Source organism: Homo sapiens, chromosome 12 (assembly GCF_000001405.40).
Source record: "Homo sapiens chromosome 12, GRCh38.p14 Primary Assembly".
Classification (NCBI taxonomy): Eukaryota; Metazoa; Chordata; class Mammalia; order Primates; family Hominidae; genus Homo; species Homo sapiens.
Genome location: NC_000012.12, coordinates 37095655 through 37109073, shown reverse-complemented (window position 1 = coordinate 37109073; position 13419 = coordinate 37095655). Strand labels below are relative to the sequence as shown.

The window sequence follows — 13419 nt, the reverse complement described above, 5'->3', positions numbered from 1 at the left end:
AAAGAGTGTTTCAAATCTGCTCTTTCTGAAGGAAGGTTCATCTCTGTGAGTTGAATACACACACCCACAAATAAGTTACTGAGAATTCTTCTGTGTAACATTATATGAGGAAATCCCGTTTCCAACGAAGGCCTCAAAGAGGTCCAAATATCCACTTGCAGACTTTACAAAGACAGTGTCTCCAAACTCCTCCATCAAAAGAAAGGATATACTCTGTGAATTGAACGCACACATCACAAAGTAGATTCTGAGAATGATTCTGTCTAGTTTTTATACGAAGATATTTCCTTTTCTACATTTGGCCTAAAAGTGCTTGAAATCTCCACCTGCAAATATCACAAAAAGAGGGTTTCACATCTGCTCTGTCTAAAGGACAGTTCACCTCTGTGAGTTGAATAGAGGCAACACAAAGAACTTACTCAGTATTCTTCTTTCTAGCGTTCTATGAAGAAATCCCGTTTCCAACGAAGACCCCAATGAGGTCCAAATATCTGCTTGCAGACTTTACAGACAGAGTGTTTCCAAACTACTCTATGAAAAGAAAGCTTAAACTCCTTGAGTTGAACGCACACATCACAAAGTAGTTTCTGAGAATGATGCTGTCTAGTTTTTGTACGAAGATGTTTCCTTTTCTACATTTGGTCTCAAAGCGATTGAAATCTCCAACTGGAGACTGCACAAATAGGGTGTTTCAAATCTGCTCTGTCTAAAGGAAGGTTCAACTCTGTGAGTTGAATACACACACCACAAATAAGTTACTGAGAATTCTTCTGTCGAACATTACATGAAGAAATCCCGTTTCCAACGAAGGCCTCAAAGAGGTCCAAATATCCACTTGCAGACATTACAGAGTGTTTCCAAACTGCTCCATCAAAAGAAAGGTTAAACTCTGTGAGCTGAACACACACATCAAAAAGAAGTTTCTGTGAATGATTCTCTCTAGATTTTATAAGAAGATGTTTCCTTTTCTACCGTAGGCCTCAAAGCGCTTGAAATCTCCAGCTGCAAATTCCACAAAAAGGGTGTTTAACATCTGCTCTTCTAAAGGAAAGTTCAACTCTATGAGTTGAATACACACAGCACAAAGAAGTTACTGAGACTACTCCTATCAAACATTATATGAAGAAATCCCATTTCCAACGAAGGCCTCAAAGAGGTCCAAATATCTGCTTGCAGACTTTACAGACAGAGTGTTTCCAAACTGCTCCGTCAAAAGAAAGGTTAACCTCCTTGAGTTGAACACACACATCACAAAGTAGTTTCTGTGAATGATTCTGTCTAGTTTTTATACGAAGATGTTTCCTTTTCTACCTTTGGTCTCAAAGCGATTGAAATCTCCACATGGAAACTCCACAAAAAGAGTGTTTCAAATCTGCTCTTTCTGAAGGAAGGTTCAACTCTGTGAGTTGAATACACACACCACAAATAAGTTACTGAGAATTCTTCTGGGTAACATTATATGAGGAAATCCCGTTTCCAACGAAGGCCTCAAAGAGGTCCAAATATCCACTTGCAGACTTTACAAAGACAGTGTCTCCAAACTCCTCCATCAAAAGAAAGGTTATACTCTGTGAATTGAACGCACACATCACAAAGTAGTTTCTGAGAATGATTCTGTCTAGTTTTTATACGAAGATATTTCCTTTTCTACATTTGGCCTAAAAGCGCTTGAAATCTCCACCTGCAACTATCACAAAAAGAGGGTTTCACATCTGCTCTGTCTAAAGGACAGTTCACCTCTGTGAGTTGAATAGAGGCAACACAAAGAACTTACTCAGTATTCTTCTTTCTAGCGTTCTATGAAGAAATCCCGTTTCCAACGAAGGCCCCAAAGAGGTCCAAATATCTGCTTGCAGACTTTACAGACAGAGTGTTTCCAAACTACTCTATGAAAAGAAAGCTTAAACTCCTTGAGTTGAACGCACACATCACAAAGTAGTTTCTGAGAATGATTCTGTCTAGTTTTTATACGAAGATGTTTCCTTTTCTACATTTGGTCTCAAAGCGATTGAAATCTCCAACTGGAAACTGCACAAATAGGGTGTTTCAAATCTGCTCTGTCTAAAGGAAGGTTCAACTCTGTGAGTTGAATACACACACCACAAATAAGTTACTGAGAATTCTTCCGTCGAACATTACTTGAAGAAATCCCGTTTCCAACGAAGGCCTCAAAGAGGTCCAAATATCCACTTGCAGACATTACAAACAGAGTGTTTCCAAAACTGCTCCATCAAAAGAAAGGTTAAACTCTGTGAGCTGAACACACACATCAAAAAGAAGTTTCTGTGAATGATTCTGTCTAGATTTTATAAGAAGATGTTTCCTTTTCTACCGTAGGCCTCAAAGCGCTTGAAATCTCCAGCTGCAAATTCCACAAAAAGGGTGTTTAACATCTGCTCTTCTAAAGGAAAGTTCAACTCTATGAGTTGAATACACACAGCACAAAGAAGTTACTGAGACTTCTCCTATCAAACATTATATGAAGAAATCCCGTTTCCAACGAAGGCCTCAAAGAGGTCCAAATATCTGCTTGCAGACTTTACAGACAGAGTGTTTCCAAACTGCTCCATCAAAAGAAAGGTTAAACTCCTTGAGCTGAACACACACATCACAAAGTAGTTTCTGTGAATGATTCTGTCTAGTTGTTATACGAAGATGTTTCCTTTTCTACCTTTGGTCTCAAAGCGATTGAAATCTCCACATGGAAACTCCACAAAAAGAGTGTTTCAAATCTGCTCTTTCTGAAGGAAGGTTCATCTCTGTGAGTTGAATACACACACCACAAATAAGTTACTGAGAATTCTTCTGGGTAACATTATATGAGGAAATCCCGTTTCCAACGAAGGCCTCAAAGAGATCCAAATATCCACTTGCAGACTTTACAAAGACAGTGTCTCCAAACTCCTCCATCAAAAGAAAGGTTATACTCTGTGAATTGAACGCACACATCACAAAGTAGTTTCTGAGAATGATTCTGTCTAGTTTTTATACGAAGATATTTCCTTTTCTACATTTGGCCTAAAAGCGCTTGAAATCTCCACCTGCAAATATCACAAAAAGAGGGTTTCACATCTGCTCTGTCTAAAGGACAGTTCACCTCTGTGAGTTGAATAGAGGCAACACAAAGAACTTACTCAGTATTCTTCTTTCCAGCGTTCTATGAAGAAATCCCTTTTCCAACGAAGGCCTCAAATAGGTCCAAATATCTGCTTGCAGACTTTACAGACAGAGTGTTTCCAAACTACTCTATGAAAAGAAAGCTTAAACTCCTTGAGTTGAACGCACACATCACAAAGTAGTTTCTGAGAATGATTCTGTCTAGTTTTTATACGAAGATGTTTCCTTTTCTACATTTGGTCTCAAAGCGATTGAAATCTCCAACTGGAAACTGCACAAATAGGGTGTTTCAAATCTGCTCTGTCTAAAGGAAGGTTCAACTCTTTGAGTTGAATACACACACCACAAATAAGTTACTGAGAATTCTTCTGTCGAACATTACTTGAAGAAATCCCGTTTCCAACGAAGGCCTCAAAGAGGTCCAAATATCCACTTGCAGACATTACATACAGAGTGTTTCCAAACTGCTCCATCAAAAGAAAGGTTAAACTCTGTGAGCTGAACACACACATCAAAAAGAAGTTTCTGTGAATGATTCTGTCTAGATTTTATAAGAAGATGTTTCCTTTTCTACCGTAGGCCTCAAAGCGCTTGAAATCTCCAGCTGCAAATTCCACAAAAAGGGTGTTTAACATCTGCTCTTCTAAAGGAAAGTTCAACTCTATGAGTTGAATACACACAGCACAAAGAAGTTACTGAGACTTCTCCTATCAAACATTATATGAAGAAATCCCGTTTCCAACGAAGGCCTCAAAGAGGTCCAAATATCTGCTTGCAGACTTTACAGACAGAGTTTTTCCAAACTGCTCCATCAAAAGAAAGGTTAAACTCCTTGAGTTGAACACACACATCACAAAGTAGTTTCTGTGAATGATTCTGTCTAGTTTTTATACGAAGATGTTTCCTTTTCTACCTTTGGTCTCAAAGCGATTGAAATCTCCACATGGAAACTCCACAAAAAGAGTGTTTCAAATCTGCTCTTTCTGAAGGAAGGTTCATCTCTGTGAGTTGAATACACACACCACAAATAAGTTACTGAGAATTCTTCTGTGTAACATTATACGAGGAAATCCCGTTTCCAACGAAGGCCTCAAAGAGGTCCAAATATCCACTTGCAGACTTTACAAAGACAGTGTCTCCAAACTCCTCCATCAAAAGAAAAGTTATACTCTGTGAATTGAACGCACACATCACAAAGTAGTTTCTGAGAATGATTCTGTCTAGTTTTTATACGAAGATATTTCCTTTTCTACATTTGGCCTAAAAGCGCTTGAAATCTCCACCTGCAAATATCACAAAAAGAGGGTTTCACATCTGCTCTGTCTAAAGGACAGTTCACCTCTGTGAGTTGAATAGAGGCAACACAAAGAACGTACTCAGTATTCTTCTTTCTAGCGTTCTATGAAGAAATCCCGTTTCCAACGAAGGCCCCAAAGAGGTCCAAATATCTGCTTGCACACTTTACAGACAGAGTGTTTCCAAACTACTCTATGAAAAGAAAGCTTAAACTCCTTGAGTTGAACGCACACATCACAAAGTAGTTTCTGAGAATGATTCTGTCTAGTTTTTATACGAAGATGTTTCCTTTTCTACATTTGGTCTCAAAGCGATTGAAATCTCCAACTGGAAACTGCACAAATAGGGTGTTTCAAATCTGCTCTGTCTAAAGGAAGGTTCAACTCTGTGTGTTGAATACACACACCACAAATAAGTTACTGAGAATTCTTCGCTCGAACATTACATGAAGAAATCCTGTTTCCAACGAAGGCCGCAAAGAGGTCCAAATATCCACTTGCCGACATGGCAAACACAGTGTTTGCAAACTGCTCCGTCAAAAGAAAGTTTAAACTCTGTGAGATGAACACACACATCAAAAAGAAGTTTCTGTGAATGATTCTGTCGTCTAGATTTTATAAGAAGATGTTTCCTTTTCTACCATATTCCTCAAAGCACTAGAAATCTCCAGCTGCAAATTCCACAAAAAGTGTGTTTGACATCTGCTCTGTCTAAAGAAAAGTTCAGCTCTGTGAGTTGAATACACACAGCACAAAGAAGTTACTGAGTCTTCTCCTATCAAACATTATATGAAGAAATCCCGTTTCCAACGAAGGCCTCAAAGAGGTTCAAATATCTGCTTGCAGACTTTACAGACAGAGTGTTTCCAAACTGCTCCATGAAAACGAAGGTTAAACTCCTTGAGTTGAACACACACATCACAAAGTAGTTTCTGTCAATGATTCTGTCTAGTTTTTATACGAAGATGTTTCCTTTTCTACCTTTGGTCTCAAAGCGATTGAAATCTCCACATGGAAACTCCACAAAAAGAGTGTTTCAAATCTGCTCTTTCTGAAGGAAGGTTCATCTCTGTGAGTTGAATACACACACCACAAATAAGTTACTGAGGAATTCTTCTGTGTAACATTATATGAGGAAATCCCGTTTCCAACGAAGGCCTGCAAGAGGTCCAAATATCCACTTGCAGACTTTACAAAGACAGTGTCTCCAAACTCCTCCATGAAAAGAAAGGTTATACTCTGTGAATTGAACGCACACATCACAAAGTAGTTTCTGAGAATGATTCTGTCTAGTTTTTATACGAAGATATTTCCTTTTCTACATTTGGCCTAAAAGCGCTTGAAATCTCCACCAGCAAATATCACAAAAAGAGGGTTTCACATCTGCTCCGTCTAAAGGACAGTTCACCTCTGTGAGTTGAATAGAGGCAACACAAAGAACTTACTCAGTATTCTTCTTTCTATCGTTCTATGAAGAAATCCCGTTTCTAACGAAGTCCCCAAAGAGGTCCAAATATCTGCTTGCAGACTTTACAGACAGAGTGTTTCCAAACTACTCTATGAAAAGAAAGATTAAACTCCTTGAGTTGAACGCACACATCAGAAAGTAGTTTCTGAGAATTATTCTGTCTAGTTTTTATACGAAGATGTTTCCTTTTCTACATTTGGTCTCAAAGCGATTGAAATCTCCAACTGGAAACTCCACAAAAAGAGTGTTTCAAATCTGCTCTGTCTAAAGGAAGGTTCAACTCTGTGAGTTGAATACACACACCACAAATAAGTTACTGAGAATTCTTCTGTCGACCATTACTTGAAGAAATCCCGTTTCCAACGAAGGCCTCAAAGAGGTCCAAATATCCACTTGCAGACATTACAAACAGAGTGTTTCCAAACTGCTCCATCAAAAGAAAGGTTAAACTCTGTGAGCTGAACACACACATCGAAAAGAAGTTTCTGTGAATGATTCTGTCTAGATTTTATAAGAAGATGTTTCCTTTTCTACCATAGGCCTCAAAGCGCTAGAAATCTCCAGCTGCAAATTCCACGAAAAGTGTGTTTAACATCTGCTCTGTCTAAAGTAAAGTTCAGCTCTGTGAGTTGAATACACACAGCACAAAGAAGTTACTGAGACTTCTCCTATCAAACATTATATGAAGAAATCCCGTTTCCAACGAAGGCCTCAAAGAGGTCCAAATATCTGCTTGCAGACTTTACAAACAGAGTGTTTCCAAACTGCTCCATCAAAAGAAAGGTTAAACTCCTTGAGTTGAACACACACATCACAAAGTAGTTTCTGTGAATGATTCTGTCTAGTTTTTATACGAAGATGTTTCCTTTTCTACCTTTGGTCTCAAAGCGATTGAAATCTCCACATGGAAACTCCACAAAAAGAGTGTTTCAAATCTGCTCTTTCTGAAGGAAGGTTCAACTCTGTGAGTTGAATACACACACCACAAATAAGTTACTGAGAATTCTTCTGTGTAACATTATATGAGGAAATCCCGTTTCCAACGAAGGCCTCAAAGAGGTCCAAATATCCACTTGCAGACTTTACAAAGACAGTGTCTCCAAACTCCTCCATCAAAAGAAAGGTTATACTCTGTGAATTGAACGCACACATCACAAAGTAGTTTCTGAGAATGATTCTGTCTAGTTTTTATACGAAGATATTTCCTTTTCTACATTTGGCCTAAAAGCGCTTGAAATCTCCACCTGCAAATATCACAAAAAGAGGGTTTCACATCTGCTCTGTCTAAAGGACAGTTCACCTCTGTGAGTTGAATAGAGGCAACACAAAGAACGTACTCAGTATTCTTCTTTCTAGCGTTACATGAAGAAATCCCGTTTCCAACGAAGGCCTCAAAGAGGTCCAAATATCTGCTTGCAGACTTTACAGACAGAGTGTTTCCAAACTACTCTATGAAAAGAAAGCTTAAACTCCTTGAGTTGAACGCACACATCACAAAGTAGTTTCTGAGAATGATTCTGTCTAGTTTTTATACGAAGATGTTTCCTTTTCTACATTTGGTCTCAAAGCGATTGAAATCTCCAACTGGAAACTGCACAAATAGGGTGTTTCAAATCTGCTCTGTCTAAAGGAAGGTTCAACTCTGTGAGTTGAATACACACACCACAAATAAGTTACTGAGAATTCTTCTCCCGAACATTACTTGAAGAAATCCCGTTTCCAACGAAGGCCTCAAAGAGGTCCAAATATCCACTTGCAGACATTACAAACAGAGTGTTTCCAAACTGCTCCATCAAAAGAAAGGTTAAACTCTGTGAGCTGAACACACACATCAAAAAGAAGTTTCTGTGAATGATTCTGTCTAGATTTTATAAGAAGATGTTTCCTTTTCTACCATAGGCCTCAAAGCGCTTGAAATCTCCAGCTGCAAATTCCACAAAAAGGGTGTTTAACATCTGCTCTTCTAAAGGAAAGTTCAACTCTATGAGTTGAATACACACAGCACAAAGAAGTTACTGAGACTTCTCCTATCAAACATTATATGAAGAAATCCCGTTTCCAACGAAGGCCTCAAAGAGGTCCAAATATCTGCTTGCAGACTTTACAGACAGAGTATTTCCAAACTGCTCCATCAAAAGAAAGGTTAAACTCCTTGAGTTGAACACACACATCACAAAGTAGTTTCTGTGAATGATTCTGTCTAGTTTTTATACGAAGATGTTTCCTTTTCTACCTTTGGTCTCAAAGCGATTGAAATCTCCACATGGAAACTCCACAAAAAGAGTGTTTCAAATCTGCTCTTTCTGAAGGAAGGTTCAACTCTGTGAGTTGAATACACACACCACAAATAAGTTACTGAGAATTCTTCTGTGTAACATTATATGAGGAAATCCCGTTTCCAACGAAGGCCTCAAAGAGGTCCAAATATCCACTTGCAGACTTTACAAAGACAGTGTCTCCAAACTCCTCCATCAAAAGAAAGGTTATACTCTGTGAATTGAACGCACACATCACAAAGTAGTTTCTGAGAATGATTCTGTCTAGTTTTTCTACGAAGATATTTCCTTTTCCACATTTGGCCTAAAAGCGCTTGAAATCTCCACCTGCAAATATCACAAAAAGAGGGTTTCACATCTGCTCTGTCTAAAGGACAGTTCACCTCTGTGAGTTGAATAGAGGCAACACAAGGAAGTTACTGAGTATTCTTCTTTCTAGCGTTCTATGAAGAAATCCCGTTTCCAACGAAGGCCCCAAAGAGGTCCAAATATCTGCTTGCAGACTTTACAGACAGAGTGTTTCCAAACTACTCTATGAAAAGAAAGCTTAAACTCCTTGAGTTGAACGCACACATCACAAAGTAGTTTCGGAGAATGATTCTGTCTAGTTTTTATACGAAGATGTTTCCTTTTCTACATTTGGTCTCAAAGCGATTGAAATCTCCAACTGGAAACTGCACAAATAGGGTGTTTCAAATCTGCTCTGTCTAAAGGAAGGTTCAACTCTGTGAGTTGAATACACACACCACAAATAAGTTACTGAGAATTCTTCTGTCGAACATTACATGAAGAAATCCCGTTTCCAACGAAGGCCTCAAAGAGGTCCAAATATCCACTTGCAGACATTACAAACAGAGTGTTTCCAAACTGCTCCATCAAAAGAAAGGTTAAACTCTGTGAGCTGAACACACACATCAAAAAGAAGCTTCTGTGAATGATTCTGTCTAGATTTTATAAGAAGATGTTTCCTTTTCTACCGTAGGCCTCAAAGCGCTTGAAATCTCCAGCTGCAAATTCCACAAAAAGGGTGTTTAACATCTGCTCTTCTAAAGGAAAGTTCAAATCTATGAGTTGAATACACACAGCACAAAGAAGTTACTGAGACTTCTCCTATCAAACATTATATGAAGAAATCCCGTTTCCAACGAAGGCCTCAAAGAGGTCCAAATATCTGCTTGCAGACTTTACAGACAGAGTGTTTCCAAACTGCTCCATCAAAAGAAAGGTTAAACTCCTTGAGTTGAACACACACATCACAAAGTAGTTTCTGTGAATGATTCTGTCTAGTTTTTATACGAAGATGTTTCCTTTTCTACCTTTGGTCTCAAAGCGATTGAAATCTCCACATGGAAACTCCACAAAAAGAGTGTTTCAAATCTGCTCTTTCTGAAGGAAGGTTCATCTCTGTGAGTTGAATACACACACCACAAATAAGTTACTGAGAATTCTTCTGTGTAACATTATATGAGGAAATCCCGTTTCCAACGAAGGCCTCAAAGAGGTCCAAATATCCACTTGCAGACTTACAAAGACAGTGTCTCCAAACTCCTCCATCAAAAGAAAGGTTATACTCTGTGAATTGAACGCACACATCACAAAGTAGTTTCTGAGAATGATTCTGTCTAGTTTTTATACGAAGATATTTCCTTTTCTACATTTGGCCTAAAAGCGCTTGAAATCTCCACCTGCAAATATCACAAAAAGAGGGTTTCACATCTGCTCTGTCTAAAGGACAGTTCACCTCTGTGAGTTGAATAGAGGCAACACAAAGAACTTACTGAGTATTCTTCTTTCTAGCGTTCTATGAAGAAATCCCGTTTCCAACGAAGGCCCCAAAGAGGTCCAAATATCTGCTTGCAGACTTTACAGACAGAGTGTTTCCAAACTACTCTATGAAAAGAAAGCTTAAACTCCTTGAGTTGAACGCACACATCACAAAGTAGTTTCTGAGAATGATTCTGTCTTGTTTTTATACAAAGTTATTTCTGTTTCTATGATTGGCCTCAAAGTGATTGAAATCTCCAACTGGAAACTGCACAAATAGGGTGTTTCAAATCTGCTCTGTCTAAAGGAAGGTTCAACTCTGTGAGTTGAATACACACACCACAAATAAGTTACTGAGAATTCTTTCTGTCGAACATTACATGAAGAAATCCCGTTTCCAACGAAGGCCTCAAAGAGGTCCAAATATCCACTTGAAGACATTACAGAGTGTTTCCAAACTGCTCCATCAAAAGAAAGGTTAAACTCTGTGAGCTGAACACACACATCAAAAAGAAGTTTCTGTGAATGTTTCTGTCTAGATTTTATAAGAAGATGTTTCCTGTTCTACCGTAGGCCTCAAAGCGCTTGAAATCTCCAGCTGCAAATTCCACAAAAAGGGTGTTTAACATCTGGTCTTCTAAAGGAAAGTTCAACTCAATGAGTTGAATACACACAGCACAAAGAAGTTAATGAGACTTCTCCTATCAAACATTATATGAAGAAATCCCGTTTCCAACGAAGGCCTCAAAGAGGTCCAAATATCTGCTTGCAGACTTTACAGACAGAGTGTTTCCAAACTGCTCCATCAAAAGAAAGGTTAAACTCCTTGAGTTGAACACACACATCACAAAGTAGTTTCTGTGAATGATTCTGTCTAGTTTTTATACTAAGATGTTTCCTTTTCTACCTTTGGTCTCAAAGCGATTGAAATCTCCACATGGAAACTCCACAAAAAGAGTGTTTCAAATCTGCTCTTTCTGAAGGAAGGTTCAACTCTGTGAGTTGAATACACACACCACAAATAAGTTACTGAGAATTCTTCTGTGTAACATTATATTAGGAAATCCCGTTTCCAACGAAGGCCTCAAAGAGATCCAAATATCCACTTGCAGACTTTACAAAGACAGTGTCTCCAAACTCCTCCATCAAAAGAAAGGTTATACTCTGTGAATTGAACGCACACATCACAAAGTAGTTTCTGAGAATGATTCTGTCTAGTTTTTATACGAAGATATTTCCTTTTCTACATTTGGCCTAAAAGCGCTTGAAATCTCCACCTGCAAATATCACAAAAAGAGGGTTTCACATCTGCTCTGTCTGAAGGACAGTTCACCTCTGTGAGTTGAATAGAGGCAACACAAAGAACTTACTCAGTATTCTTCTTTCTAGCGTTCTATGAAGAAATCCCATTTCCAATGAAGGCCTCAAAGAGGTCCAAATATCTGCTTGCAGACTTTACAGACAGAGTGTTTCCAAACTACTCTATGAAAAGAAAGCTTAAACTCCTTGAGTTGAACGCACACATCACAAAGTAGTTTCTGAGAATGATTCTGTCTAGTTTTTATACGAAGATGTTTCCTTTTCTACATTTGGTCTCAAAGCGATTGAAATCTCCAACTGGAAACTGCACAAATAGGGTGTTTCATATCTGCTCTGTCTAAAGGAAGGTTCAACTCTGTGAGTTGAATACTCACACCACAAATAAGTTACTGAGAATTCTTCAGTCGAACGTTTCATGAAGAAATCCCGTTTCCAACGAAGGTCTCAAAGAGGTCCAAATATCCACTTGCAGACATTACAAACAGAGTGTTTCCAAACTGCTCCATCAAAAGAAAGTTAAACTCTGTGAGCTGAACACACACATCAAAAAGAAGTTTCTGTGAATGATTCTGTCTAGATTTTATATGAAGATGTTTCCTTTTCTACCGTAGGCCTCAAAGCGCTTGAAATCTCCAGCTGCAAATTCCACAAAAAGGGTGTTTAACATCTGCTCTTGTAAAGGAAAGTTCAACTCTATGAGTTGAATACACACAGCACAAAGAAGTTACTGAGACTTCTCCTATCAAACATTATATGAAGAAATCCCGTTTCCAACGAAGGCCTCAAAGAGGTCCAAATATCTGCTTGCAGACTTTACAGACAGAGTGTTTCCAAACTGCTCTATCAAAAGAAAGGTTAAACTCCTTGAGTTGAACACACACATCACAAAGTAGTTTCTGTGAATGATTCTGTCTAGTTTTTATACGAAGATGTTTCCTTTTCTACCTTTGGTCTCAAAGCGATTGAAATCTCCACATGGAAACTCCACAAAAAGAGTGTTTCAAATCTGCTCTTTCTGAAGGAAGGTTCAACCCTGTGAGTTGAATACACACACCACAAATAAGTTACTGAGAATTCTTCTGGGTAACATTATATGAGGAAATCCCGTTTCCAACGAAGGCCTCAAAGAGGTCCAAATATCCACTTGCAGACTTTACAAAGACAGTGTCTCCAAACTCCTCCATCAAAAGAAAGGTTATACTCTGTGAATTGAACGCACACATCACAAAGTAGTTTCTGAGAATGATTCTGTCTAGTTTTTATACGAAGATATTTCCTTTTCTACATTTGGCCTAAAAGCGCTTGAAATCTCCAAGTGCAAATATCACAAAAAGAGGGTTTCACATCTGCTCTGTCTAAAGGACAGTTCACCTCTGTGAGTTGAATAGAGGCAACACAAGGAACTTACTCAGTATTCTTCTTTCTAGCGTTCTATGAAGAAATCCCGTTTCCAACGAAGGCCCCAAAGAGGTCCAAATATCTGCTTGCAGACTTTACAGACAGAGTGTTTCCAAACTACTCTATGAAAAGAAAGCTTAAACTCCTTGAGTTGAACGCACACATCACAAAGTAGTTTCTGAGAATGATTCTGTCAAGTTTTTATACGAAGATGTTTCCTTTTCTACATTTGGTCTCAAAGCGATTGAAATCTCCAACTGGAAACTGCACAAATAGGGTGTTTCAAATCTGCTCTGTCTAAAGGAAGTTTCAACTCTGTGAGTTGAATACACACACCACAAATAAGTTACTGAGAATTCTTCTGTCAAACATTACATGAAGAAATCCCGTTTCCAACGAAGACCTCAAAGAGGTCCAAATATCCACTTGCAGACATTACAAACAGAGTGTTTCCAAACTGCTCCATCAAAAGAAAGGTTAAACTCTGTGAGCTGAACACACACATCAAAAAGAAGTTTCTGTGAATGATTCTGTCTAGATTTTATAAGAAGATGTTTCCTTTTCTACCGTAGGCCTCAAAGCGCTTGAAATCTCCAGCTGCAAATTCCACAAAAAGGGTGTTTAACATCTGCTCTTCTAAAGGAAAGTTCAACTCTATGAGTTGAATACACACAGCACAAAGAAGTTACTGAGACTTCTCCTATCAAACATTATATGAAGAAATCCCGTTTCCAACGAAGGCCTCAAAGAGGTCCAAATATCTACTTGCAGACTTTACAGA

The 13419-nt window shown here is 38.5% G+C and overlaps 1 annotated feature.

Annotated features, from left to right (window-relative positions):
* Positions 1 to 13419: part of a centromere (Linear centromere model derived predominantly from reads generated in PMID: 17803354. This region does not represent an actual centromere sequence, as long-range ordering of repeats and unmapped WGS contigs is not provided by the model. For details of model production, see http://arxiv.org/abs/1307.0035.) that runs on past both edges of the window.